General features: G+C 53.0%; 1 protein-coding gene and 3 non-coding genes across 7 annotated transcripts in view, besides 16 other annotated features; 2 read left to right on the forward strand and 2 right to left on the reverse strand.

Moving 5' to 3' along the window:
- Positions 1-712: 712 nt before the first annotated feature.
- Positions 713-784, reverse strand: TRC-GCA14-1 (tRNA-Cys (anticodon GCA) 14-1). Its single transcript has one exon. It is a non-coding gene; the product is annotated as a tRNA-Cys (tRNA).
- Positions 2929-3008: an enhancer, noted in NCBI's record as "active region_12081". NCBI's record gives its function as "activates an Ori minimal core promoter by ATAC-STARR-seq in GM12878 lymphoblastoid cells {active_cell/tissue: GM12878}" and the evidence as "EXISTENCE:reporter gene assay evidence [ECO:0000049][PMID:35858748]".
- Positions 6466-7079: a transcriptional cis regulatory region, noted in NCBI's record as "candidate enhancer chr17.2188 targeted for multiplex CRISPR interference". NCBI's record gives its function as "positively regulates PGAP3 gene expression in K562 cells {active_cell/tissue: K562}" and the evidence as "EXISTENCE:mutant phenotype evidence [ECO:0000015][PMID:30612741]".
- Positions 6466-7340: a biological region, named in NCBI's record as "CRISPRi-validated cis-regulatory element chr17.2188". NCBI's record gives its function as "regulatory_interactions: PGAP3".
- Positions 6674-6745, forward strand: TRC-GCA2-2 (tRNA-Cys (anticodon GCA) 2-2). Its single transcript has one exon. It is a non-coding gene; the product is annotated as a tRNA-Cys (tRNA).
- Positions 6738-7340: an enhancer, noted in NCBI's record as "H3K27ac hESC enhancer chr17:37023962-37024564 (GRCh37/hg19 assembly coordinates)". NCBI's record gives its function as "activates a minimal SCP1, AML or CMV promoter by ChIP-STARR-seq in primed H9 embryonic stem cells {active_cell/tissue: H9 hESC(primed)}" and the evidence as "EXISTENCE:reporter gene assay evidence [ECO:0000049][PMID:30033119]".
- Positions 7297-7396: a silencer, noted in NCBI's record as "silent region_8442". NCBI's record gives its function as "represses an Ori minimal core promoter by ATAC-STARR-seq in GM12878 lymphoblastoid cells {active_cell/tissue: GM12878}" and the evidence as "EXISTENCE:reporter gene assay evidence [ECO:0000049][PMID:35858748]".
- Positions 7297-7941: a biological region, named in NCBI's record as "H3K27ac-H3K4me1 hESC enhancer GRCh37_chr17:37024565-37025165".
- Positions 7341-7941: an enhancer, noted in NCBI's record as "H3K27ac-H3K4me1 hESC enhancer chr17:37024565-37025165 (GRCh37/hg19 assembly coordinates)". NCBI's record gives its function as "activates a minimal SCP1, AML or CMV promoter by ChIP-STARR-seq in primed H9 embryonic stem cells {active_cell/tissue: H9 hESC(primed)}" and the evidence as "EXISTENCE:reporter gene assay evidence [ECO:0000049][PMID:30033119]".
- Positions 7517-7696: an enhancer, noted in NCBI's record as "active region_12082". NCBI's record gives its function as "activates an Ori minimal core promoter by ATAC-STARR-seq in GM12878 lymphoblastoid cells {active_cell/tissue: GM12878}" and the evidence as "EXISTENCE:reporter gene assay evidence [ECO:0000049][PMID:35858748]".
- Positions 8321-8392, reverse strand: TRC-GCA4-1 (tRNA-Cys (anticodon GCA) 4-1). The gene has a single exon. It is a non-coding gene; the product is annotated as a tRNA-Cys (tRNA).
- Positions 8817-9126: a silencer, noted in NCBI's record as "silent region_8443". NCBI's record gives its function as "represses an Ori minimal core promoter by ATAC-STARR-seq in GM12878 lymphoblastoid cells {active_cell/tissue: GM12878}" and the evidence as "EXISTENCE:reporter gene assay evidence [ECO:0000049][PMID:35858748]".
- Positions 9087-27026, forward strand: part of LASP1 (LIM and SH3 protein 1) — a 51713-nt gene continuing 33773 nt past the window's right edge. For 3 of the 4 annotated variants that reach the window (NR_073384.2, NM_006148.4, NM_001271608.2), the window contains exons 1-2: positions 9087-9287; positions 17115-17209. Coding sequence is in view for 3 of the 4 variants with exons in the window: in NM_006148.4 (NP_006139.1) it covers positions 9219-9287; positions 17115-17209 (164 nt within the window). In the remaining variant the exon portion in view is untranslated. Of the gene's footprint in view, positions 9288-12908; positions 13143-17114; positions 17210-27026 lie in introns of those variants that run through there. The other variant, XM_047435965.1, reaches the window with a different exon arrangement.
- Positions 9187-9336: an enhancer, noted in NCBI's record as "active region_12083". NCBI's record gives its function as "activates an Ori minimal core promoter by ATAC-STARR-seq in GM12878 lymphoblastoid cells {active_cell/tissue: GM12878}" and the evidence as "EXISTENCE:reporter gene assay evidence [ECO:0000049][PMID:35858748]".
- Positions 9647-9746: a silencer, noted in NCBI's record as "silent region_8444". NCBI's record gives its function as "represses an Ori minimal core promoter by ATAC-STARR-seq in GM12878 lymphoblastoid cells {active_cell/tissue: GM12878}" and the evidence as "EXISTENCE:reporter gene assay evidence [ECO:0000049][PMID:35858748]".
- Positions 10349-10950: an enhancer, noted in NCBI's record as "H3K27ac hESC enhancer chr17:37027573-37028174 (GRCh37/hg19 assembly coordinates)". NCBI's record gives its function as "activates a minimal SCP1, AML or CMV promoter by ChIP-STARR-seq in naive H9 embryonic stem cells {active_cell/tissue: H9 hESC(naive)}" and the evidence as "EXISTENCE:reporter gene assay evidence [ECO:0000049][PMID:30033119]".
- Positions 16784-16863: a silencer, noted in NCBI's record as "silent region_8445". NCBI's record gives its function as "represses an Ori minimal core promoter by ATAC-STARR-seq in GM12878 lymphoblastoid cells {active_cell/tissue: GM12878}" and the evidence as "EXISTENCE:reporter gene assay evidence [ECO:0000049][PMID:35858748]".
- Positions 18955-19537: an enhancer, noted in NCBI's record as "H3K27ac-H3K4me1 hESC enhancer chr17:37036179-37036761 (GRCh37/hg19 assembly coordinates)". NCBI's record gives its function as "activates a minimal SCP1, AML or CMV promoter by ChIP-STARR-seq in primed H9 embryonic stem cells {active_cell/tissue: H9 hESC(primed)}" and the evidence as "EXISTENCE:reporter gene assay evidence [ECO:0000049][PMID:30033119]".
- Positions 20705-21287: an enhancer, noted in NCBI's record as "H3K27ac-H3K4me1 hESC enhancer chr17:37037929-37038511 (GRCh37/hg19 assembly coordinates)". NCBI's record gives its function as "activates a minimal SCP1, AML or CMV promoter by ChIP-STARR-seq in primed H9 embryonic stem cells {active_cell/tissue: H9 hESC(primed)}" and the evidence as "EXISTENCE:reporter gene assay evidence [ECO:0000049][PMID:30033119]".
- Positions 23295-23344: a silencer, noted in NCBI's record as "silent region_8446". NCBI's record gives its function as "represses an Ori minimal core promoter by ATAC-STARR-seq in GM12878 lymphoblastoid cells {active_cell/tissue: GM12878}" and the evidence as "EXISTENCE:reporter gene assay evidence [ECO:0000049][PMID:35858748]".

Below are 27026 nucleotides of genomic sequence, written 5' to 3' on the forward strand. Positions count from 1 at the left end.
TACTCGGGAGGCTGAGGCAGGAGAATGGCGTGAACCTGGGAGGCGGAGCTTGCAGTGAGCCAAGACGCCAAGACGGCGCCACTGCACTCCAGCCTGGGTGACAAAGTGAGACTCCATCTCAAAAATAATAATAATTATTATTATTATTCTGGCTGGGCGCGGGGGCTCACGCCTGTTATCCCAGCGCTTTGGGAGGCCGAGGCGGGTGGATCACCTGAGGTCAGGAGTTCGAGACCAGCCTGACCAACATGGAGAAACCCTGTTTCTACTAAAAATACAAAAATTAGCCGAGTGAGGTGCCGCATGCCTGTAATCCCAGCTACTCGGGAGACTGAGGCAGAAGAATCAGTTGAACCTGGGAGGCAGAGTTTGCAGTGAGCTGAGATCAAGCCATTGCATTCCAGCTTGGGCGACAGAGCGAGACTACCTTAAAAAAAAAAATCCTTTCTTGCACGCAGAAAGGGCCTAAAGGACACCCAGGATCCCCACATCACACTTACAACTACCAGGGATTCAGAGAACACTCCAAAGTTGCAGATAACACATCCTCCTATAACTTACCAGTTTGTATGTTGATATACTTTGTAGAAGGTGAAGTCTATGAAGGTGAAAAGGGGGTAATACGTAGTTTATTATTTTCCCAGTATCCACCACAGAATGCTCCGAGAGCTTTATCTTTCTTGCCCGTCACTGTGTTAAAACGGTGGCTGTGAGGGGGCACCCGGATTTGAACCGGGGACTTCTTGATCTGCAGTCAAATGCTCTACCCCTGAGCTATACCCCCTCTACCAAAAAAAGGAAGACTGCGTCTTAAATGTAGTGTTTTCTGATCAGACATTGCCTGCAGTGATTCAGAATAGTTTGGTGTCTATGATAAACTATTTAGAGTGATCTGGACCCAAGTAAAGTGGTGGGAGAGAAAAGAGAAGTCTAAGTCCTCTCTGATTCTGGCTTGAGGGTCTTGTACGGATGTGCAGTGGGATCCCTCTTTTCCATCACTATAGCGCCCCCTTTTTTTTCCACTACAGCCTTTTTTACCTCTGGCATCTGGGAATTCTCTTATTTTATTATTTATTTTTATTATTTTTTTGAGATGGAGTCTCGCTCTGTTGCCCAGGCTGCAGTGCAGTGGCGCCATCTTGGCTCACTGCAAGCTCCGCCTCCCGGGTTCACGCCATTCTCCTGCCTCAGCCTCCCGAGTAGCTGGGACTACAGGAACCCGCCACCACACCGGGCTAATTTTTATATTTTTAGTAGTGACGTGGGTTTCACCATGTTGGTCAGGCTGGTCTCGAACTCCTGACCTCAGGATCTGCCCACCTCCGCCTCCCAAAGTGTTGGGATTACAGCCGTGAGCCACCGCGTCCGGCTGCATTTGGGAATGCTTCAAGTCAATTTTTTAGCCTCTGTGCCTGCAACGTGAGCTGCAGTGAATCCTCAGCCCCGTGCTTTGCACACAAGAGGAAGTACTTCCCTTGTCCTTCCCAAGACCATCTCTGCTTCCGGGCCAGGTGTGTCTCCGTTGTCTCCATTTTCTCCAGCATCTTCAATCACTTCCTCTTCCCCTGGCTCCTTCAAACATCAACAGGTTTCCATTAGGAAAGTATTCTTCTTTTTTTTTTTTTTTTGAGACGGAGTTTCCCACTTGTTGCCCAGGCTGGAATGCAATGGCGTGATCTCGGCTCACCACAACCTCCGCCTCCCGGGTTCACGCGATTCTCCTGCCTCAGCCTCCCGAGTAGCTGGGATTACAGGCATGCGCCACCACCCCGGCTAATTTTGTATTTTTAGTAGAGACGAGGGTTCTCCCTGTTGGTCAGGCTGGTCTCGAACTCCCGACCTCAGGTGATCCGCGCGCGTCGGCCTCCCAAAGTGCTGGGATTACAGGCGTGAGCCACCTGGCCCGGCCAGAAAAGTCTTTTACCTGTGATTGCCTGTTCATTTTCTTCCTTCTCACTACCAATTTTTTACTTTTTTTTTGGTCTCGCTCTGTGGTCCAGGTTGGAGTGCACTGACACCATCTCGGCTCACTGCAACCTCCGCCTGTTGGGTTCAAGGGATTCTAGTGCCTCAGCCTCCTGAGTAGCTGGGATTACAGGTGCGCACCACCAGGCCCAGCTAATTTTTGTATTTTTTGTAGAGACGGGGTTTCACCATGTTGGCCAGGCTAGCCTTGAACTCCTAAATTCAAGTGATCCGCCCGCCTCTGCCTCCCAAAGTTCTGGGAGTAGAGGCGTGAGCCATCACACCCGGCCAAGATTGTGCATTTTTTGAGGGTAGGGATCATGTTGCATTATTTCTTGCATTTTCCAAAGTAGTCGGCGCAGTGCCTGGTTCATGGTAATCCCTGGTCGTAATCACCAAACTACAGCCTAGTTAAACTCACCGATGGGATTCCACCAAACCTGCACCCAAGCAGCTGAATGTTGCTGAAGAAAAAAGGTGCACAAGTTTGTGCCAATCAATGTAAAACATGCTTTCTGTCTAGCATTGCTTCACTATTGCCCAAATATGTTTACTTTTTCATGCTCCAAAATGACTATTTCACACAGTCTCTCCTTTCTTAAACCTTCCACACCTTCTTTCTCCTCTTGCTGTCAGATGAAGAGCTTGCCTCTTCCTTTTTTTTTTTTTTTTTTTTTTTTGAGAGGGTGTCTCCTCTGTCAGCCAGGCAGGAGTGCAGTGGTGCGGTCTCGGCTCACTGCAAGCTCTGCCCCCCAGGCTCATGCCATTCTCATGCCTCAGCTTCCTGAGTAGCTGGGACTACAGGCACCCGCCACCACGCCTGGCTAATTTTTTTGTATTTTTAGTAGAGACGGGGTTTCACCGTGTTCACCATGATGGTCTCGATCTCCTGACCTCGTGATCCGCCCACCTTGGCCTCCCAAAGTGCTGGGGTTACAGGCGTGAGCCCCCGCGCCAGGCTTCGAAACGCATACTCTTAAATATCAGTTAAGCACCTTAAATGAAACATGTTCATCCCAATACTGGAACATGATGTCTGTGAGGACATGGGGCTGTACTTTGTTACTTTCTTTTAAGAGTTTTAAAAATAAACTCATTTTTTTTCCCCTAAACTCGCCCCTTTCTCAGTGGGATTTTTCTCTTTTCTTTCTGTTTTTTTTCCCTCCAAGACTAAGTTTTGCTCCTCTTGCCCAGGCTGGAGTGCAGTGGTGTGATCTTGGCTCACTGCAACCTCTGCCTCCTGGGTTCAAGCAATTCTCCTGCCTCAGCCTCCGGAATAGCTGGGATTACAGGCACCCACAACCATGGCTGGCTAATTTTTTGTGTTTTTGGTAGAGACGTGGTTTCACCATGTTGGCCAGGCTGGTCTCGAACTCCTGACCCCAGGTGATCCACCCACCTTGGCCTCCCAAAGTGCTTGGATTACAGGCATGACCCATCGCGCCTGGCGTTTTTGTTTTTTTTTTTTTTTTTTTTTTTTTTAGATGGAGTCTCATTCTGTCACCCAGGGTGGAGTGCAGGGGTGCGATCTTGGCTCACTGCAACCTCCCACCCCTGGGTTCTATTGATTCTCCTGCTTCAGCCTCCCGAGTAGCTGGAATTACAGGTGTGTGCCACCACACCTGGGTAATTTTTGTGTTTTTTGTAGAGTGGGGTTTTGCCATGTTGAGAAGGCTGGTCTCGAACTCCTGACCTCAGGTGATCTGCCCACCTGGGCCTCCCAAAGTGCTGGAATTACAGGCGTGAGCCATTGTGCCTGGCCACCTGCATTCTTCTCTAGCTCGGCTGTTCTACTTGTTCCTACTTGTAATAGACTAAATAATGACGCTCCAAACATGTCTACATCCCAGTCTCCTTGTGAATCTATTTGTGACTATGTTACCTCTCATGATAAAAGCAACTTTACAGATATGATTAAATTAAATATCTTGAGATGTGAGGTTATCCTGGATTATCCAGGTGAGCTCAGTGTAATCCCACAGGTCCTTACAAGAGGGAGGCAGGAGGATCAGAGTCACAGAGAGAGGAGATGGTAACATGGAAGCATGGAAACCAAGGCTAGACGGAGACAGGATGATATGCTGCTGGCTTTGACAACTGGGGAAGAGGCAATGAGGCAGCAATGTAGCGGCCTCTATAGGCTGGGAAAGTCAAGGAAACGGATTCTCCCCTAAAGCCTACAGAAGGAATGCAGTCATACTAACATTTTAATTCTAGCCCTGTGGATTTTTTTTTTTTTTTTTTTTTAAGATGGAGTCTTACTCTGTCACCCAGGCTGGAGTGCAGTGGCACCATCTCGGCTCACTGCAACCTCCGCCTCCTAGGTTCAAGCGATTCTTCTGCCTCAATTTCCTGAGTAGCTGGGACTGCAGGCGTGAGCCACCATGCCTGGCTAATTTTTCTATTTTTGGTAGAGAAGGGATGTCACCATATTGGCCAGGCTGGTCTCGAACTCCTGACCTCGTGATCTGCCTGCCTTGGCCTCCCAAAGTGTTGGGATTACAGGCATGAGCCACCGAGCCCAGCCAGCCCAGTGAAATTGATTTTGGGATTCTGACCTCCAGAACTGTGAAGATAATAAATTTCTGTTGTTTTATGCAAATAGACTGTAATTTGTTATATCAGCAATATAAAACTAATAAAACACTGTAGTCTAAGACATCACCACCATCTCTGACCCGTATTATTACAATAGATTCCCAACTGGCTTCTCTCTCTCTCTTTTTTTCTTGAGACAGAGTCTTGCTCCGTCACCCTGGCTCACTGCAGCCTTGACCTCTTGGGCACAAGCAATCCTCCTGCCTCAGCCTCCCAAGTAGCTGGGACTACAGGTACACACCACCATACCTGGCTAATTTTTAAATTTTTTTTGTAGAGATGGGAATCTCACCATGTCGCCCAAACTGGTTTCAAACTCCTGGGCTCAAGTGATCCTCTTGCCCTGGCCTCCAAAAGTGCTGGGATTATGGGCATGAGACACCATGCCTGGCAGACCCTCTTAGATTTTCAACTATACAATACAGTATTGTTAATTGAAGGCAAAATGTTGTACAGCCGATTTCTAGAGTTTTTTCATCTTGCAGAACTGACATTTTAGACCTATTGATCAGCAACTCCCTCCAGCCCCTGGCAACAATCGTTCTACTCTCTGCTTCTGGGAGTCTGACTATGTTAGAAACCTCATATAAGTGGAATCATGCAGTATTTGGTCTTCTGTAACTGGCCTGCTTCACTTAGCATAATATCCTCAAGGTTCATCCACGTTATTGCATATTGCAGGATTTCTTTCTTACTTAGTTTTTTTTTTTTTTCTTTTTTGCAACGGAGTTTCGCTCTTGTTGAGAGCGAAACTTGTTGCCCAGGCTGGAGTGCAATGGCGTGTTCGTATTCTTTTTGGAGAGACCAAGGAAAAACTTTATCCAGTTTTGCAGGAGGTTGTTCTCTGACTTGCTAGCGGGGAGAGATGAGTGGGATTGTGGATAAAGAATTGAGCCTAGGCCGAGTGTGGTGGCTCACGCCTGTAATCCCAGCACTTTGGAAGGCCAAGGTGGGCAGATCACCTGAGATCGGGAGTTCAAGGCCAGCCTGTCCAACATGGAGAAACCCCGTCTCTACTAAAAATACAAAATTAGCCAGACGTGGTGGTGCATGCCTGTAATCCCAGCTACTCGGGAGGCTGAGGCAGGAGAATTGCTTGAACCTGGGGGGCACAGGTTGCGGTGAGCCGAGATCGCACTATTGCAATCCCGACTGATCAAGGAGAGCGAAATTCCGTCTCTGGGCAACATAGGGAGACGGCCTCCTTCACCCACCACCTGCCCCCATCTCCACAAAATGGAAAACAAACAAACAAACAAACAAAAATTGAACCAAGCAGGGGTGCGGTGGCTCATGCCTGTAATCCCAGCACTTCGGGAGGCCAAGGCGGGCAGATCATGAAGTCAGAAGTTCGAGACCAGCCTAGCCAACATGGTGGAACACTCATCTCTACTAAAAATACAAAAATTAGCTGGGCGCGGTGGCGGGCGCCTGTAATCCCAGCTACTCGGGAGGCTGAGGCAGGAGAATCGCTTGAATCCGGGAGGCCGAGATTGCGCCACTGCACTCACTCCAGCCTGGGTTACAGAGGAAGACTCCGTCTGGAGAAAAAAAAAAAAAAAGAACTGAACCTAGACAAAGCAGATTGGCACCTAAATTCACACGCTTTTCAAACTGCCACCACGTCTTGGCCTAGCCTTTTTTTTTTTTTTAGATGGAGTCTCGCTGTGTCGCCCAGGCTGGAGTACAGTGGCATGATCTCGGCTCACTGCAACCCCCGCCTCCTGGGTTCTGGGTTGCAGCAATTCTCCTGTCTTAGCCTCCTGAGTAGCTGGGACTACAGGCTCCCGCCACCGCTACCGGCTAATTTTTTGTATTTTTAGTAGAGACGGAGGTGGGGGGGGGGGGGGTGGGTTTCACCATCTTGGTCAGTCTGGTCTCGAACTCCTGACCTCGTGATCCGCCCGACGCGGCCTCCCAAAGTGCTGGGGATTACAGGCGTGAGCCACTGTGCCCGGCCTATCTTGGCCTAGTCTTTTAATTTCTCCTTCCTCATTGGTAATTTCAGTATAATCTAGCAAAGAGACACTAATTTTGAACGAATGGTGAAAGTATGAAAATTTTGGGATCAATCGATGTAAAAACAATTTACCAGAGAGCCACCGCCAGAGGGGGTATAGCTCAGTGGTAGAGCATTTGACTGCAGATCAAGAGGTCCCCGGTTCAAATCCGGGTGCCCCCTCGGGTTTCTTTAAGTTTTTTTCACAGCCATCCAGGAATAACCTGAGTCAGCGAGTTCTGAATGCAAAACTCACGGGAGGTGTCGTTTGTATCTTCCACCTACCTAATTTTCACCTTGAAAGGATTCCCGTACCCTAGAGGGAGAGAACAGCAACCAGAGGCTGCCTTTAGGTGGATCTGAGCCCTCATACCCCAAGTGGCGATAAGCGCACCAGTACTCTCAGTTGGAGAACAAAGGCGCGTATCGATTTCCATCTCCGATGCCCATTGGTTTAACGTTAATTATAATTTGTTTTGGGGTAAAAAATATGTCTTGGACGGGGCAGTAGTTCGTACTTGACTATGAAAACTAGGAGAAGTAATCCAAATTCAGAGGTTTTCATATACTCGCGAACTCGAACAGGACAGGGCACACAGATAGAAGGTAGACAGCGAGCAATTTTCCCCTCTTCCTTCTTGACTCAGCTCATAGGCAGGGCTTTGGCTTGATAAGCTATACATGGAAAGTTCAAGGCCTAAAGGAGAGGTAAAACTGGTTCCTCCTGGGTTTTGCACGGAACCGCAGCTCTGCTGATCTGTGATCTCTCTGTTCAGCCTAGAGATACAGCTCACAGTAATAGGAGCCAGGAGAAAAAAATGCGCGTTTCCCCGGGGTCCGAGGAATGACACAACCACATTCCGGGTTTAAAATATCGCAGCTGCCCTTTGACCCAGGCAGCACGCCTCTTCCTTTCTCCTTTATTTTTCCTTTTTTTGGGCAAAACCTAGTCGAGGGGGACGCCCTTGTCTCCCGTCACACTTACCATTTTCCTCCGGCCCAACAGTGACCCTGTCAGGCACGCAGCCAGCAGATACTTGTCCCCATCTTTAGGTTATGAAACTCCATGGCCTTTTATTCTTACTTCAGTGGTTCTTAAAATGTGGTCCCCACACCAGCAGCACCAGAGGCACCTGGAAACTTGGTAGAAATGCAAATTCTCGGGGCCCCCTTACAGAATCAGAAACTAGCAGTGTTTTAACAAGCCCTGCAGGTAATTCTGATGCACGTTCAAATTTGAGAAACACTGTGTTCGTTTATCTCAGTTTGCACTGGGTTATAACTTTACTTTTGTACATTAATAGTCAAGGATGAACACAGCACGTCCATGTCACCATTAATACAGAAAGTTGAAGTTGGAGAAGGGCTGTGTCTATGGGTTTCCCTCGCCTGACCCACCCTCCACCCCCAAAAGGAACGCCAAGTTGAGGCGTTCCCCTGTCTCCCTACCCCCATTGGAAACATCCTGTCCCTCAAACCCGGCACCTCGAACTGTCTGACCCATCTGAGGCTGGCGCCCGTGGCCGCAGAAATCCCTACACCTCTGGCGCGAGTAATGCGGTCGCGCAGCTTTTATACCCACCCCCTCCTCCCGCTGAGCACAAAGTAAAACCGAAAGATTTCTGCTAAGGTTGAAAAATGAGGAAGATACTTTTTCTTTTCTTTTTTTTTTTTTTTTTAGTCAGGACCCAATGTTAAAATGTGAGTCAAGAATGAAAAACAGATGGTTAACAAGGGGAAGGAAAAACCAAGCCATTGAGGGGGCACCCGGATTTGAACCAGGGACCTCTTGATCTGCAGTCAAATGCTCTACCACTGAGCTATACCCCCGCGCCTCTACAGCGCCTGGAGGCGGCTCCTTGGGTGCTAAGCATTGTTGCAGCTGCTACACTGTGAGTAGTGGTGTAACAGAAGGAGAAAGGAATGCTGGAGAAAAAGGGGTCAAGCTGAACGCAGACGGTGCCCGCATCCGGGGAACCCCGGGAAGGTGCACTGCAGGGGCTCGAGAGGGAAGCACTAGCCCGGGCCCGGCAGCGCGCAGGGTCCAAGAGGGAGGGACGGGTTCCGCCCCACAAATGTGGGAAAGGGTGTGGGCCGGAAGAGAGCTAAGAGGGGCAGGGTAGGGGGTCCCCGTTCGGTCCGCAGATTCATGCCGGGTAGAAAGTCCCCGAATGCGGTGAATCAGTTCCAGCGTTCAGGAGGATCCAACCCCACCCTCGACGGGCTTGAGGGGTTAGCCCGCCTCCCGCAGCCCGGGCGCCCCAGATGTGCAGCCTGCTCGCCTCTGCGCCGCCTCCGGCTGGGGAAGGGCCCTGGGCACCGGGCGCAGTCAGCCTGAGAGCGCTGAGGCGCCAGCACCGCGGGCCCCGCCGTCCCCCCAGGAACCCGCCCCCGCGCAGCCCCACGTCGCCCGGAGAGCGCGCCTCGCTGCGCGTGCCCTTGCCCGCGCCCGAGGCGCGTGCCCGCCCCAGTGCAGCCCCTCCTCCCCGCTGTGTTTATTAGGGGAAGGAGGGCGGAGGCGGAGGCCAGTTCCCCAGCTCCAGCCGCCGTCGCTGCTGCCTGTGTAGTTGCAGCCGCGGCCGCCTCCCGCCAGCTCGCCTCGGGGAACAGGACGCGCGTGAGCTCAGGCGTCCCCGCCCCAGCTTTTCTCGGAACCATGAACCCCAACTGCGCCCGGTGCGGCAAGATCGTGTATCCCACGGAGAAGGTGAACTGTCTGGATAAGGTGAGCCCGGGACCGGGAGACGCGTCTTTGCAATCCCCCGCAGTGCTCCGAATCCAGGGAGGAGAGAAGGGCCGGGTCTTTGCCGCCTTATCCCCGCGATCCCAGGAGAATGGAGGGAGGGCGAGCGGGCGGTGTCATGGGGTGTGGGGACACATCCCAGTCTGAAAACCAGGAGATCTGGGGCGAGGCGGGAAGTCCACGCGTAGCGGGCAGCCGCTGCTGGAGAGGGGTGGGCTCTGTGTCCCGGGGTTGGGAGGACGGGAGAGGAGCAGGGAAGTCAGGCGCCGGGGTGTGTTGGGGGAAGGTTAGGGGTGCAGTCCCGCCCCCTACGGCCTGGAGAGTGAGAAGAGACGGCCGCTCCCTCTCCGCTCTGCGCCGAGCGCCAAGTAGGCGGAAGCGCGGGGCGCTGGTGGAGGGGGCGGGGGGGCGGGGCAGAGGCTGGGGGGCCCTGCAAAACCGTCCGCTCCGGCGGGGGTGGCCTGGCTTCCTGGCCTGGCGGGGCGGGGGCTATCAGCCTGCGAGTGTGTGGCATCTGATGCGGGGGGTTTTGGGTAAGGACCCGGGCTCTGCCGCAAGAGCCCCGTTTTTGAACGACCTGCACCCCCTTGGATTCAGTCGTTAAAGGACTCGCAGACCTCCTCCACAGCTTCCCAACCCCCACCTCCAATTAAAAGCCAACTCCCGGTGCTGGGCCGTCCAGCCTGAGCCGGGTGGGGTTGGGTGGCAGAGTAGGGTGGGTGGAGGGTGCTTAGCTGAGATCTCCTGAAATTGTGCTCAGAGCCAGGAGACCGTGTGGAAGAACAAAGAGCTAACTTTTCAAAGCAGGTTTCTCCAATGGAGGGTGGGGTTGGCTGAGTTCTGGGGAAGCCGAGGAAAGGGGGAGGTATTGGGGGGAGGGGAGGGTGGCCTTGTGGAGATTCAGTGTCCCCTGGGGGCCCTGTCTCCCCAATGCTGGACTTGTTCATCTGGTTGCCATTAGACTTTTGGAGGGGGGTTGGAGAGTAGAACTGGGTGTTTCCCGTACAGTTTAGGGTAGGATCCTGTTCTCTTGTAAGCTCCGTAAGATCCTAAGGTAAAACCTGCCCCTCTGCATCCCCTCCCCAGTCTGGAGGGGAGGCCTCTGTGATTTTGTGCCCTTCCTCACCGCGTCTTTCATCCACCACCCAAAGCTGGCTCCAAGTCCAAGTATTCTGTCCTTTCCATCTGAACTGGGAGGGCTGGGAGGACTGGATGGAAGAGAGGTGCAAGGGTGGGAACACTAGATGAAAGAGGGGTATAGAGCCCTGGGGCCAAGTTCATTACTGACCTGGAGCCAGGTTTTGTTCAGGAGAGGATAGTTTATTGGACACCTTATCTCTCCCCTCCCCCTTGGTGTGTGAGCTTCCTCAGTGACCTTTGGCCTCTGAGTCAGCGTGAGGAGGTGGGGTTGGAGGTTCTGAAAGATATTTGAACTTGCTCTTGGGGAGTGTGGGCATATGGGGCCGCTGCTGTGTCACTGTTCCTCCTGGTCCTGGGCTTGACTGGGCAGGAGGAGAGGAGGGGGTATATTGTGGGCACGAGGAAAGTTGTTGATCTCCCCATGACCATGCCAGCCGCTGTTGGGCAGGACTTGAGCTTAGAGCTATCAGATAATGAAGTCTCCCCTTGAGAATGTACCTGTCCTTGCACACTGGGGTTTCGCCCGCCCCTCGTGGCAGAGATTTTGGCCTCTGCATCTTGAGTTCCCTGTGGTCCCCTTCTTCTCCACAGTCATGAATTGGGAAGAGGCAGTGGGCACTTGACCCGTATAAGGAAAAAGCAAAACATGAAGGCAGGATTGCCACTCCAGGAGTTGGGAAACTGGGTCCTTGTTCCAGGTCTGCTCCCACCAGTTTTATGAATGTCTCTAGGCCTCAGTATTCACCATCTGTCAGATGGGTATGATGATGTCATTTCCTTAAAGGTGGGGCAGTGCACTAAAGTCCCTGAGTGCTAAAGAGGGTGCTGTATAGACTATGCCCTCCCTACCTCTCTGGGATGCTCTGTTCAGCTCCACACCACTCCCCTTGGAAAGACCTTCAGTGCCGTGTACCCGAGGGGAGGGGAGCAGGGATGGGCAGGGTGCCCTCCCCAGTTCTCTTACCCTAGCTGGAAGAGGACGTTCAAGTGGGGGTTGCCCAGGGAAGTGGGAGTTGGTGATTCCTTCCTCTTTTTAGAACTCTCCCTATAGGAAGTGGCCCTGGAGAGACCTCGCCCCCTGTACTGAGCAGGAGACCTGAAATATCCAGGTATCAGACCTATTCCTCTCCACCTGCTCCAGGCAGTAAGGATAGGACCAGGAATGGGGAGCCAGTGCCTGGAGGATGCTGGGCTGTGACCAGGGAGGAGGGGAAACCTTCAGTCCCATAGGCAGCTTCAGTCCCATAGTTGCTAACCAACTTCCCAAGGCCTCCCATTTACAGCAAAAGAGTCAAATTAGACTCACCCGTTTCTCTACAATCCCCCATGGTACTCAGCCCACTACGTGGCCCAAAGCACAGGGTGTGTCCTTGGTTTCAGCCTTTTCTCCTCCCTGAGCCTTATCTCCCAAAGGCATAGGTGGGTAAAAACCTTGTCACCTCTGAAGGCCACCCTGCCCCCAACCTGCAGTACCCAGCATGCTTTGCAAGCTGGATAAATATGTATTGCTGATGACAGTGTTTGAGGAAGGAGGTCGAGATTTGCTTCTCCAGAGGACTTCTGGGATTAGAGCTGGGGGAGAAACAGGGTGACCTCATTTGCTCATTCAACAAATATTTATTGAGCACCTACTTTGTGCACCTGCTTTGTATCTAGGGAGCTGTGTTGTCAAGAACCTCGCCACGTCCCTCTTTCCTGGCTTGCTTCCCCAGGTTTCTGAAAACAGGTGGAGGTAGAGGATTGGTCTGCTGCCAGTTCCCCTGGAATCCCCTGTTAGGGTGGGCTCTCTGCCTCTGCTTGTCTCAGCGCTCCCTCCCCACTCGAGGGGGTTGAAGTCCTCACAGCTGTGGTGCCCCGTTTTGCTAGCTGAAGCTTAGAGTACCCCACCATCATCTTGTGACCATCCCTTCATAATAGCTACTAGTTATCACGATATGCTGGGCTCAGTCTTCACAGCAGCCTCACAAAGTAGGTGTATTCGCTCTTGTAAACGATGCACTCCATAAATGGAGGCTCAGGTAGCCCATGTGGCTCATCTCCCTCTCTTAGAGCTGAAATTCACATCCACAGTTCTTTCTGCTCAGCTCTTCTGCCAGTGTGTTTGCAGAAAGTACTTTTATTTATACATATTTATATTTTATTTACATCTCATTTGTGCCAAAAGTAGGTCCCATCCCTTCCTGACCCTATCTGGAGGAATGCTCTGGGCCTGGGGTCTTGTATGGGGGCGTGGGGCCACTGGGAATAATCCTGTCCTCCTCGGAATTTGTGGAGGTGCAGCAAAGATCTATGCCTTTAAGCCAGCGGGTCAGGTGGCCAACCAAGCTAGGCTGGTGCCCCGGCCAGGGTGGGGCTGGCATTGCCTCTGCAGGAGGGAGAAACTGTAACCCTGGGCAACAGGAAGGGAAGAGATGGTCTCATAATCCATCCCTGAGTCATGGCCACCCCAGGTAGCCTGGGTTCAGAGGCCAAGGTGCCAGGCTGCAGGCACAGTGACACGAAGCTTGCCACATCCCCCCCAACCCAGAGCCACAGAGGGACAGGCTGTCCCAAGTGAGGGGTATCCTTGCAGGCTTCTGCCCCTACCAGCCTGTTTACCTTTCTTTAGAGTGGGTTGCAGGTAGGCAAGGGAAGATCAAGATGACCCTGCCTTGGAGCCTCGGATCCAGGCTGAGAGGCCTCTAACAGGCAGCAGAGGTAGGGTCTGTCTGGTTTCTGTGAACAGGGAAGCCATGGACTTTGCAGGCAGCAGGAAGGGGCAGAGGTGCATGCCTCGAGGTGCAGTTTCCTTGAGTCCTGAGGCCCAGGAATGCTTCGCTGAAATCATCTTGCCTGGGGCCTTTAAAAGAGGGGGGCTCTTGCTCTGGGACAGAGCCCATGGGGCAGGGCAGAGGCAGACGGGGTCACTGTGGGGTCCTCTGGACATATTTCCCTGACAGTGTCCTTCCCCAGACCCCATTGAGACAAGGCAGGAGTTCTTTCATCTTAGGGTCCAGGCTTGGCTCACAGCGGTTGTGGAGGGACTGGCCATTTTCTGCCTCCCCTCCCCACAATTTTCCTACCCCAAAAAGGACACAGTGGAAGGAGCTGGTGGGTTTTCTTGAACCTTGGGGCCTTCCTCCAGAGAGGGTAGGGGAGTCGCCTGAAGCTGCTGGAGGTGCCAAGCATTAGGGGTGGAACGGCCTCCTCTCCTGACCTTCCAGCACTCTGGGAGACAGTGGCTGCAGCTCCACTTGACACTTGTGCTTCATAGTAACTGGTTTCCATGTTTCTGCTCAGAGCCCCCTGCAGGGGGACAGGCGACCACCCTCCTCTGCCCCACCCTTGGGTGTCTGGATGAGAGTGTGGGGCCTGTGAGGGAGGTGGGAAGGAGCTACTGATAGAAATAGGTGCCATCCCCTAGAAGAGGGGCTCTGCTTCCTCCGCGTGGCAGCCTGGAGGGGTCTTTGGAACCACTGGGTCCAGTGTTGGCCCTGTGCCCCCTGCCTGCTCAGTACACCCCACCCTCCTTCTCCAAGGGGCTTGGCTCCGGGTGCAGGCCTGGCCATCTGGAGTAGGGGTCTCTCTCCCTTTGTCTCCCCAACGTCAATCAGGAGGCAGCCTTGGAGGTCCGTGGTCCTAGGACAGTGTGTAGCCCTTCGTGTGTGTGTGTGTGTGTGTGTGTGTGTGTGTGAGAAAGTGGGTCATGGTCTGGATTCTGGAGAATGTTTTTCCTGGCAGGCCCCTGTGGGGGTAGGGGGAGGCAGGGGCCCAGGCAGGGGCCTAGGCAGGGGCCTGTGCAGCTAAGTAGGCAGAGGCCAGCAGACTGGGTGGTGACCAGGCTGGGGCACCCTGCCAATGCCTCCCAGTTACTCGGGGAGGGAGTGGGGCTGTCACTTCAGGGGCCTGTGGGGGCAGGGACCAGCCTGTCTTAGTGTCCCTGGTGGGTTCTGTGTGTTGGGGTATGCACCACTTCAGGGGCCTGTGGGGGCAGGGACCAGTCTGTCTTAGTGTCCCGGTGGGTTCTGTCTATTGGGTTATGCACCAGAAGGAGTCTTTAAGTTGCCTCATAGGAGTTTGGGGGCCCTGGGTCACTGGGATAGGCCCAGGTTGGGGAGGGGGCCAAGCTTAGACCCGCCACTTCTTTGCTTCCAGACTTCCGGCTGGCCGTCCTCCCCAAGAGTGGTTCTCCTAGCATTCTGTTTAATATTCCACCATTAGGTTTTTCCTTTGGGTCTTCTTGATAGGGAACCAGTACCCTATTAGAAGGTGATTTCCCCCTGAAATTACCCTGGGGGTCTCTGGTTGAAGTGGGCCATGGTAGGGAGGTTGAATCCCAGATTCTCAGCCTTCTTTCTGCTATCCCCTCCTCCCAGTGTCTCAGAAGCACCTCTCCCTCCGGGGGTTTGGAGACAACATTTTGAAAAGCATCGCCTTGGGGGAATTCCTTGACAAATGGCCAAGAACCAGCTCTGTGGCTGGGCTCCTTCAAAAGTCCCCCTGGGCCTGCCTCCTGGCCTCCTTCTTTTGGAATGGGGAATGTCTCCCTTGACTACTGGGAAATGGGGCAGGGACAGGCCAGCCAGGTCACTCAGGTGGCCTGGATTATTCTGGGGTCCTGGCAGTGGACCCCTGTTTGGTGGTGATCCAGCACATCATCCTGGGCTTCTGGGGGTGAATTTAGATCCTGTTGTCATGGGTTTGCCTAAGCATCAATACTTCTCAGGGGTTCCACAAAGACCCCTCCAGGCTGCCACGTGGAGCCTGTTAGATCGTTTCTCTTTTTTTTTTTTTTTTTTTTGAGACAGAGTCTTGCTCTGTCACCCAGGCTGGAGTGCAGTGGCACAATCTTGGCTCACTGCAACCTCCACCTCCTGGGTTTAAGTGATTCTTTTGCCTCAGCCTCCCAAGTAGCTGGAATTACAGGCATGCGCCACCATACCCGGCCTATTTATTTATTTATTTATTTATTTATTTATTTTTGAGATTAAGTCTCGCTCTATACCCCAGGCTGGAGTGCAGTGGCATGATCTCAGCTCACCGCAATCTCTGCCTCCTGGGTTCAAGCGATTCTCCTGCCTCAGCCTCCCGAGTAGCTGGGATTACAGGCACGCCGTCACTGCACCCGGCTAATTTTTTTGTATTTTTAGTAGATACGGGGTTTCACCATGTTGGCCAGGCTGGTCTTGAACTCCCAACCTCCAGTAATCCGCCTGCCACAGCCTCCCGAAGTGCTCGGATTATAGGCGTGAGCCACCGCTCCCGGCTAGATCTGTTCTCTTTCTGTCATCACTCTCTTCCCTCCGTCGGCCACCCTGGATGGGCCCTGTGTCCCACATTCTCTTTTTTTTTTTTGAGACGGAGTCTTGCTCTGTCACCCAGACTGGAGTGCAGTGGCCTGGGTTCACGCCATTCTCCTGCCTCAGCCTCCCAAGTAGCTGGGACTACAGGCACCCGCCACCACGCCTGGCTAATTTTTTTGTCTTTTTAGTAGAGATGGGGTTTCACCATGTTAGCCAGGATGGTCTCGATCTCTTGACCTCATGATCCGCCCGCCTCGGCCTCCCAAAGTGCGGGATTACAGGCGTGAGCCACCGTGCCCGGCCGTGTCCCACATTCTCACACGCATGAATGGATTGGAGCTGTGGTTGGCACAGTGAAGCCCCTCTGCACCCCAACACACACAATCTCCAGTGTGAGCCCTGACCCCCTCGGCTAAGGTTCACACCTGCTGTGCCCAGCACCTGACATCTGAGTGCTCAGAGGTGCCAAGTGCTGTGCTGAGGGCTTTGAAGGTGATTTCTCCTCAGTCCTGGACAATCCCAGGAGGGCCAGGTGTTATTACATCCATTGTACACACCAGGAAGTGGGCTCCTCTGAGGTGCAGGGCCCCGCCCAAGGCCATACAGTTAGTGGGGTAGAGCTTTGATGTCCACTATAGGGGTGTCCACCTTCAAGGCTTTGAAGTAGAGCCCTTCAGTGCCTCAGTGGGAGACCCGCTGCCGGGTGCTCTCCTGCCCTCCTCCTGGGGTGGGAGAGGATGAGGGAAGGGTAGAAAGGATGTGTTGTGTTGACAGAGCCTGGGACACCCAGCCCACTCCTCTGGCCAGGCATCCCACAGGAAGTGGGAGGTATCGGAGCTGTAGCACCACCTGGGGCTCATGTGGGGCTGGTGGGTGTGCTGGGCCCTGGTACAGGAGCTAGGAGCACCTGGGTTCTGGGCCTGGGTGTGTGGGGGCTGGGCCTTCCTCTTCTGAGGCCTTGGTGCCACCAGAGGAGCTGCTCCTTCATGTTCAGCGGCTGCTCCCTAGCAACCCAGCGCAGCTTTGCATAAGCAATGAGGCCTCGCCAGCTCTGGGCAGGAGGGGTTCCCTGGGGAGGGTGGAGCTGACTTGGGGGCTGCTGCCACTGCTATAACTGGGCTCTTCCCCCCTGTCCTTCATGCCTGCCTGTCTCTTCCTCCTGGGTTCAAATGGCCCATTGGTGGAGGATGAGGAAGGAGAGAGGGGAGGGGAGTGCCAAAGCCTGTGACCTGAAATGCCCCCAGCTCACCTGGGATGATTCCATGTTCTCCCCACAGCCATGGGCCTAGGACAGTCCCAGCAGCTCCTGAGTGCCCCTTCCTAGGGCCTGAGCCCCTTTTTCAGAAGTCCTGGTATCTGATGTATGTCCTCCTGTCTCCATCCCCAGTTCTGGCATAAAGCATGCTTCCATTGCGAGACCTGCAAGATGACACTGAACATGAAGAACTACAAGGGCTACGAGAAGAAGCCCTACTGCAACGCGTGAGTCCTGTTCTGGGCAGGGGGCTGGGTGGGCACCTTGGCTCCCTCCCCGAGTGAGTTCTTCCTTTCCTTCCAATAACCGCAAGGTGACATTGGCGAACACTTCCATCCCCTACTTGAACATCACAGTTTGTCCTCACAACAGCTGAATGAAGCAAGCACTTTTTATCCCCATTTAAAGTGCTTTTATCCCCCATTTAAAGTGCATTTAAAGTACAGATGAGGAAACTGGGGCTTAGGGAAGGGAAGAGACTCTCAAGGTGGGATGGCTAGGGCAAGACAGGCTCTAACCCAATTTCGGGCAGTAAGGCGAGCACGTTTCTTTCCACTGTCCCCTGCTACAAAAGAGGGGGCTTTCCTCGTGGTCTTTCAAGAATGAGTGACGTGTCTGTTGTATTTGGGGTTGAGGACTTTGTTCTGTTTACCTTCCCTTATTTCTCTCCTCAAAATCGACAGTTTCCTTCTCTCACCTGGGTACTTCTAGGCTTTGGGGGCTCCTTCCTCCAGTGGTTCCTTCAAGAAAACTCTCTGGAAGCCTCATGCCAGCCCTTTTGGTGTTCATTTTTTGAGAATGGGCAGGGGTGCATAAAGGGTGTTGCCTGGGCCAGATAGATCTCTTCCCTGCCTGGTGAGGGAGGCTGTGGAGACTGTTTCTTTTGAGTATAGTCATCTTGAGTATAGTGCAGCTCTGTTCCTTCTGCACTGGGACCTGCAGCAGCTGACGGTAGGGAGGGAGTATAGAGGTGGGGTCCCCCATCCCAGAGCCTGGAGGAATACCTCCCCTCCCATCCCATCCCATCCCATCCCATGCAATCCCAGAAAGTACAGCAATTTTCCATCTTCCAATTGACCTTGTGAGTAGCAAGTACAAACTCAGTGTTGGGGCCTCACAGCCGCCTCCACCTGCGAGGTGGAGGCTTTGGAAGGTCAAGTCACTTATAAGTAATGATGTAATGATAATTTCTTTTTCTTTTAATTTGCTTTTTTTTTTTTTTTTGAGTCAGAGGACTCATCACCCAGGTTGGAGTGCAGTGGCGCGATCTTGGCTCACTGCAACCTCCGCCTCTTGGATTCAAGCGATTCTTGTACCTAAGCCTCCTGAGTAGCTGGGATTACAGATGCATGCTACCATGCCCAGCTAATTTTTGTATTTTTTAGTAGAGACCGGGGTTTCACCGTGTTGGCCAGGCTGGTCTCGAACTCCTGACCTCAAGTGATGCACCGCCTCAGCCTCCCAAAGTGCTGGGATTACAGGTATAAGCCACCTCGCCCAGCCTTAATTCGATTTTTTTTTTAATTTTAACTTTTTTTTTTTTAACTTCAACCAACTCAAGTAATGGTAATTTCAGTGTTCACATGAATTTAGGATCTGACTTGAGTCCAGTTTTTTTTTTTTTTCTCTTAATTCTCAGTCAGGAGGCTCTTTGCAGCTGAAGTTCACCCAGGGAAAAAAAAATTTGGGACTTGTCTAAAAAGGGGGCTTAAACCTCCAGCCTTACCCCTAACCTTACCCCAAACCTTCCTTGCTTCCTTACCCCCTCCCGTTCCCTGGCTAAGACCACTCTTTCATCTTTTTAGGGGCTCGCTCATTCAGCAGACATTTATTGCCTGCCTGCTGCTATAATACATACTAACCTGCACCAGGTGCTGGGAAAACAGATTCCTGATAAAAATCTCAAGCCCAAGAAGCAACATGAAGTTGTCCCTTCTGGAAGAAGGAGGGCACTGGGCAGGTTATCTGGGTAAAGGAAGGGTTGCAGCTCTGTCCTGGCCCCTCCTTCAGCTGCCCCTTCTCTTCTATTAATTTCTACTGTTCCTCTTCCCCCTACCAACCCCTCCCACCCCCACAAGGGAAATGGGACATTCTTCGAATTCTTAAGGGCTCACACAAGCCCTGGTTCTCTGCCACTTCCTCCCTCCATTGGGTAGTGGGGTGGGGTTCAGAGAAGCCAGGGCAGTTAACCCCTCCGTTGCTGGACCACCTCAGGCTAGATTCTGAGCCTCCGCCCCAGCACGCAGAAGTCTGACCGAGCCTTGGAGCCCAGTGACTCAAGCAGCCTAGAATTCAGTGAGCACTGGGAGCTGGAGAAAAATCAGAGGCTTGTCCTTGTTTTCTCTGCGTTTTATCAGCCTCATCCAAAGTTCCAGCTTACTGTTTTTACTGTCTTCTTGGGAAGCTGCCACAAGGTTGGGTGGAGGGCTCCTGCAGGGACTGGGGGAGCCAGAAGAGGCAGATCAAGGTTTCTTCTCTGGGTGATGCTTCCAACTTGCAGAGGCAGAGGTTCCCCTGTCTCCCTCCTGGCCTCCAGCCAAAAGAAGCAGGTTGGCCTCTCCATGTTTCCTCCAGCTTTTGTAGCCCTAGCCTCTGCCATGCCTCATTGACCTTTGGCCCAGTTGGGATGTTTCCTGGGAAGGAGCCTAGTGAGAGAGACCTGGGGGCTTTGTGACCCAGCTGTGTTTCACTTTAGCTGTAGTAGCACCTCCTCGCCCAAGGCAGTCATTCTCCCTCCCCTGCATCCACTGGGCCAAGAAGTTACCCGTGGGGATTCTGGGATGAACCAGGTGTGGCGCCCGCTTGCAAGGAGTGCTCTCTGGACGTGTCTGAGCCTTGGTTTCCCCATGGTTAAAAATTCCTGCCCAGGAGGCCTGGCATAGTGGCTCACGCCTGTAATCCCAGCACTTTGGGAGGCTGAAGCAGGTGGATCACTTAAGGTCAGGAGTTCTATCAGCCTGGCCAACATGGTGAAACTCGTCTCTACTAAAAATACAAACATTAGCCAGATGTGGTGGTGGGCACCTATAATCCCAGCTACTCAGGAGGCTGAGGCAGGAGAATTGCTTGAACCTGGGAGGCCAGGGCTGCAGTGAGCCAAGATTGCCTCTGCACTTCAGTCTGAGCGACAGAGCGAGACTCCATCTCAAAACAAACAAACAAACAAACTAAAGATAAAAAAAAATTCCTGCCCAGGGATGTTGGACCCTAGACCAAAGAGGATTTATTGAGCTCTTGCTATGTGCCAGACGCTAGGCCGAGTGTTTGCTGTCATTCCCTCCTGCTTTCTTACTTTTTTTGTTTTTATTTTGCTTTGGTTTTTTGGAGACAAGGTCTCCAAAAAAACTTCGTCCTGCTCAGTCACCCAGGCTGGAGTGCAGTGGAGTGATCATGGCTCACTGCAGCCTCCACCTCCTGGGTTTAAGTGATCCTCCTGCCTCAGCCTCCCTAGTAGCTGGGACCACAGGCATGTGGCGCCATGCTAATTTTTAAGTTTTTTGTAGAGAGGAGGGCTTGTCATACTCTTGGCCTCAGGTGATCTACCTGCTTTAGCCCAGCCTCCTCGTGTTTTCTTCCTGCCTCTGGTCTTATCCTTGAGTGACATTCAGGTTCCTGAATCCTGGGTTTACCAGGGTACAGCTTTCTGCCATTTCTGTTCTGGTCTTGCTTTGTGGACCACAGGCCTGGCTTCCTTCTCTGAAGCATCACGTGCTCCATGCTGGGCCAAGCCCAGTGCAGGACCCGTAGGGGCACGTGGTTTCTTCTGGCACTTTGCCAGGGAGTTGGGCCCACCCAGTGAGTGTGTGAGTTTGGTGTGCAGGGAGGCCTCTATGTTCTGCCTGTCTCTGGCTAGTCTCTGAGGGGAGCTAGGATCTTGCAGGGGGCTGGTCAAGAAAGAAGAAAGCTATCTTTCCCTGTGGTTTCTCAAGATTCAGATTTAAGCTCTAGAAAGTGACTGTAAAGTAGGCAGTGAAAAGGCCTCTTCTGTTTCTGTCCTTGCATCAGACTTGTTTGGGGGAGAGGCAGGGGAGAGAACATAGGCCAGAGCTCACTGCCAGCCCACCTGGTGTGGCGGACCCCCACATGCGTGCAGTTACACACATGCCTGGTGTGTAGGCAGACACCCACGCCGGTGCTGGGGCGGGGGAGGAGGACTTGGGAGCTGGACTGAATGGGCTGTGTTTGTGTTTCCACCTTCAGGACTGCAGCCATGCAGCCAATGCTGTGGCAAGGTTGAGGGTGCACTCCCGGCTTCTGCACAATAGCCAGTGGTGGAGGAAGAACTGCTAATAGAATTCTTTTTGTTTGTTTTTTTTGAGACGGAGTCTCTGTCGCTCAGGCTGGAGTGCAGTGGTGCGATCTCCGCTCACTACAACCTCTGCCTCCCAGGTTCAAGCGATTCTCCTGCCTCAGCCTCCCAAGTAGCTGGGATTACAGGCACCTGCCACCATGCCCGGCTAATTTTTGTATTTTTAGTAGAGATGGGGTTTTTCCATGTTGGCCAGGCTGATCTGGAACTCTTGACCTCAGGTGATCCACTCGCCTCGGCCTCCCAAAGTGCTGGGATTATAGGCATGAGCCACTGCCCGGCCCGAATTCTTTCTTGAAGCTTCTGGGTGGGTGGAGTGAGCCTGCTCTTGGTGAGAGAGATATTTAAGAGAGATATTTATGCCCTCCATTACTTGTTTTGTAAACTGGATTTTCCAAAAGTGGGGCAGATCAGTCCACACGCCCAGGCTTAGCATAAACCTGCATCGTTGTCTCCCTGCAGATAGTCTAGAGTACTGCCTGTTCCCTCCTCTTTAGGGCCCTACTGACAGGAGGCAGGGTTGCCAGCCAGGGAAACCAGCTTGTGAGGTGTCAAGTGGGAGGTGGGCATGGGCTGGGGAAGGAAAATTGGGGGACTTGGTTGCACCTTTCCCCTCTTCTCTGACTGCACATATTTGGGGTTCATTCTCCAGTTTCCTTGAGCTGTGGGGTAAGGACTGAGGAGGGTAAAGATGTCCCTGATTCTGGGGAGCCAGGAACTATGTTTCTGCCCCTTCCCTTAGGCATCAGATGGGAGTAGGGTGTGGTCTGTGTCAGACAAGGCTGGGTGCTTAAGTGTCTCTGGATTCTAGCAAACTGTCTTTAATCCCAGCTGCTTTTAAAAGGTGGGGCAGGGTTGGGTGCAGTGGTTTATGCCTGTAATCCCAGCACTTTGGGAGACTGAGGAGGGTGGATCGCTTGAGGCCAGGAGTTCAAGACCAGCCTCATCTCTACAAAAAATGAAATAAATTAGCCGAGTGTGGTGGTGTGGGCCTGTGGTCCCAGTTACTTGGGAGGCTGAGGCAGGAGGATTACTTGAGTCTGGGAGGTTGAGGCTGTAGTGAGCCCTGATTGCACCACAGCACTCCAGCCTGGCAACAGAGGGACACTCTGTCTCTAAAAAATGTAAAAATGAAAATAAAAATAGGTGGAGCAGGAGTAGGCAAACCCCGCACTGGGGCCCAGGGCTTTCCCTCCTTCCCAAAATTGTCTGCCTCTAACTGGAAAAATGGGGACTAGGGATGACAGTGTGGGGGAGGGCAAGTGCAAATGGCCAGCCCAAGTAGCCAAATGTGGCCTCCAGGTAGCCCTCCCACCTCACTTACCCCCAAATCCCTGTCCTTCAGGCCTCCTGGAGCCTGAGGGATCACTTTGCTTCCTAACACCTACGTTTTACAGATGAGGAAACAGGCCCGCGTTTCCATGCCTTACTCAACTTGCAGAATTGTTTCTCTTCTATATTACCGACAGGGGCAGGCTTTTTTTTTTTTTTTTTTCTTTTCATTTTGTGTGCAATCTGATGGCTGGTAAGTTCTTCCTCAAGTCTAGCCTTGATCTTTTTGACTGCTCTTTTTTTTCCTCTGATTGAACAATGCCTCCTTGTTGCTTCCTATCGCCACCACTTCAGCCCCTTAGGCCTGAGGGGATGGACGGGTGAGAAACTGGGTTAGCAGGGAGCCCTCCCTTCCCGCCTGTGGGCAGCCTTCCCAGTAGGGGCTTTTGGAATCCGCAGCTCTTTCTAGAGGCAGGATGTGGGGGCTGTTTTTTTTTTTTCCTTTTGGTAAAACCAAAAGCTCCTTGTTGCTTTTGTTGATGTCTTTTTGTTCCTCCTTGAACACAAAGCTGTGGTTTTTGAAGAGATCCAAGCCTGGAACGGGCGAGGCTCTGTGTAGAAAGGGCGCTGGGCTTTCGGGTTCGCTATCCTGTTCTTCTGACCCTGGAGTGTGGCTGATGGCAGGACTGGAGAGTGAGGCTGGTGGCTGACAAGCTGTCCCTGTCACCTGTGAGCCCGGAAACCTTGCCCCTGTAGTCCCACCAAGCAGGAAGGCCACCCAGAGGTCCTCACAGATAACCCCTCTCCTGGGACACAGGGCCTCTTCAGTATCATATCCTTTTTTTTTTTTTTTTTTAATTTTTATTTTTTGAGACAGAGTTTCGCTCTTGTTGCCCAGGCTGGAGTGCAATGGCGCAATCTTGGCTCACTGCAACCTCTGCCTCCTGGGTTCAAGCGGTTCTCCCGCCTCAGCCTCCCAAGTAGCGGGGATTACAGGAGGCCGCTACCATGCCTGGCTAATTTTTTTGTATTTTTAGTAGAGACGGTGTTTCACCATGTTGTCCAGGCTGGTGTCAAACTCCTGACCTCAAGTGATCCGCCCACCTCAGCCTCCTAAAGTGCTAGGATTACAGCGTGAGCCACCACGTCCGGCTTTTTTTTTTTTTTTTTTTTTGAGATGGGGTCTCTCTCTGTCTCCCAGGTGGAAGTGCAGAGGTGTGATCTCGGCTCACTACAACCTCCGCTTCCCGGGTTCAAGGGATTTTCCTGCCTCAGCCTCCTGGGTAGCTGGGACTACAGGCGTGTGTCACCACGCCCGGCTAATTTTTGTATTTTTAGTAGAGACAGGGTTTTGCCACGTTGGCCAGACTGGTCTTGAACTCCTGACCTCAGATGATCCGCCCGCTTCGGCCTCCCAAAGTGCTGGCATTTCGTGCCCGACCTGTATCATATACCTTTGAAAAGTTCAGAGGGATAGGCAGCTCCTAAGCAGGTGTGGCTGAGAGGCCCCAGAATATCTCTCATAATGGCCGAGCTTGGAAACGAGTTGGGTTTGAAGGATGAAGTGCTTTGTTTTGCACCCAACCTGCCAAGCACATCTTTCCCCAGAACTGAGTGCTGGAGGTGGCTGGGGTCCATCTGGCCTCCCCTTCGCTGTCTGGGCAGCTGTGGTGTAGAGGAGAATGCCTTGGGCAAGGTCTCTGTCCTTGACACTGGACCTCAGTTTCTTCATCTGTAAAACGGCACAATGAGAATGCCAGCCTAAAGCTGTGTGGTGGGTTTTGAGAGAGAATGTGCACAGGACTCAGTGTGCCAAGATGTTGCTTTGTGTCTCTGTAAATTGTCCTGAAGCCCGAGGCTGCTGCCAATAGCTGCCTGTTTGCCCTGCCCTATCCCTGTCCAGTCCCTGTTCCTGCCCCGCTTCTTCCTGTCCTACATGCCTCTCCCTGCAAACTCCCCAGAGCAGCTGATAGCAGGGAGGAAGGGTGGGTGGGGCACCTGCAGAGAGCCCACCACCCACTTGGAATGATTAACAAGGGGCCAGTACAGGCTGGCCTATGGGACAAAGGACAGCTGTGCTCTGGACTCTGCCCTGCACCCAGCTGATCACCTGTCCCTCATTCCTCGCCATGGCCCAGTCTGTCATGGGGTTGGGTTCCAGCGGAGTCACCAGCTGGGACGGGTGGCCCCTGGTCTGTCTTAGCACCCATGTTGGCATGCACACATTTCCAGCCATCCCTGCTGGGATCTAGGGGTAATGGATGGGATGGGCAGGAAGGGAAAAGGTAGAATTCCCAAAAATTGTTTCTGGAGGGAGGTCAAATCAGTTGGAGCTTTCTTTGAAGCCCGGCATGCTGGTGGGGGGAGGGGTGCAGCACTGATGTTCTCATGCCTTTGCTTCTAGAAACAAACCCGTGACACTTGTCCTCCTCACCTAAATTATCCAGAAAGATCCTATAGACACAGTCTCCTGACTTTGCCCTCATGGGCTTCTCCTTAGTTGAGGACCCCCTTGCTGTCTGTGCCTCTTCCTCAACCCCCGTAGACCTCTCTCTCTCTCTCACTCATTCTCTCTCACTCGCTCTCTCACTCTCACTCTCTCTCTCTCTCTCTCTGTCTCGCTCTCGCTCTCTCCTCACTCTCTCTCTCACTGTTGCTGCTCTCCTGCCTGGAGCTGAAGATGAGGTTGCCATGGAAACCTGAAGCGTAGTGAGCCGGGAGAGGGAAAGGCAGAGTCGTCTCGCCAGGGCTGGGGGCTGGGGACTGGGGACTGTGGGCTGTGGGGAGGGGACAGGGTTGACCCAGCAAGAGGAATATAGCCCAAGCTGTCTGCCTGCCTTCCTCTGCCTGGGGTTGGGCTTAGTGGGCAGGGGAAGGAGCTTGGAGGCTCTGGAGTGCCTCTTTAATCTAGTTAATCTGATGCAGGATTAAAATCCTCCCTCACTCCTGCCAAATTAAGCTGAGCTCACATCTGGGCTGGCTCACCCCCACTTCCCTTCTGATGGGATTAGCACTCCAGCTGTCGGGGGCTGAGACTAGGGGGAAGGGTGCTTCTGAAGAGGATGAAGTACCTGCCAACCCCACCCAAGGTGCCTGCTGCATGTTGGAGGGGCTCCCGAGACCGTCTGGTGGGTGTAGGGTGAGCAGAGGGACACAGTGTGGGGTGCAGGGGGTGTGTGGACATGGCCTCAATGCAGCTGCTGCCTGGGTGTCTTGGAGGCGCCCATCGGTGCAGAGGGCACATCTATATATTCATCGTGTGTGAGGCACAGTGCAGTGTGTGTAGGAACTTCAGACTGTGGAATGGGTGGGGCACGTCAGGTGCACCTGTCTGGCGGTCTTTGGGCACTGGAGCTGGCCTCTGTTTTATTTATTTATTTAATAAAAACAGGCTCTCGCTCTGTAGCTCAGGCTGGTCTCAAACTCCTGGCTCAAGAAATCTGCCCTCCTTGGCCTCCCAAACTGCTGGGATTACAGGCGTGAGCCACTGCACCCAGCCTGGCCTGTTTTAACCCTGTGCATTCTGGCCAATGAGAAACCCCAGGGTTTTGCAGACCGGGTCTGGAGGATGTGTTTGCCCTGCTTGCCTCTAGCCCTCCCCATCAAATGCTAACCAGCCTCATCTTCTCAGAATTGAGTCTTCGAGTGCTGGGCCAGAGCTGCCCGGAGGTCTCCTCTCCCCCACCCTGCTTTTGCCACATGTGCCTCTACTTCCATGTGCTTGCCTCACCACAGCCCCTGCCCATACAGTCTGCAGAATGGCTCTGATGTTGGGAGGAGGGTCGTCTCGTCTCTGAAGCGCTCCCTCTTAGGGCCTCAGGGCCTGCCAGCCCTGCTAGAGATCTTCCCTTTCTGGTCTCTAGGAACAGACTCGTGGTTGATCATCCCTTGGCCTGGAATTGTACAGGAACTTTGAAGGGAGCTCCTCAGCTGTGGGTGGCCCTGGCTGCACGGGGACGACCCCAGACTTGGCCACGTATTCATCACAGGCCACGTCTGTTGCCAGCTGCGGACACCTGTGTTTGCCTTTCCTCATCTTCCCTTCCTCTGCTGGAGGAACTGCGAGTCTGGGCTGACCTGGGTGGCCAGGACCCAGGTGAGGGCTGGGGGACGGGCACCGCTAGGATCATCTGGATCCGGGACAGTGAAACTGGCCCAAGGGAAAAAGGATTTGCCAAGGTCACCCAGTAAGTCAGTGGCAGGGCCAGAGCCCTGCACTGGGCCCTGTCAAGTTATGCTCCTTTGATTGAGGTCTCCAAATCCTGAGCCCTGCCCTTCACAAGTGGTGGCCTCAGGGGAAGTCGCCTGTTTACAGGTAGCTCTGATGCACGGCCATGTGGGCGGCAGGAGAACATGCCGAGCAGAGGGGCAGCTCGTTCTTAGCTCTCGAGTGTGTCAGTTTTGGGTGGAACGTGCCTAGGAAGAGGTCCCAGGAGGCCATCTATGGCTTACCTGGGTGCAGC

This window comes from Homo sapiens, chromosome 17, assembly GCF_000001405.40.
Source record: "Homo sapiens chromosome 17, GRCh38.p14 Primary Assembly".
Lineage (NCBI taxonomy): Eukaryota > Metazoa > Chordata > Mammalia > Primates > Hominidae > Homo > Homo sapiens.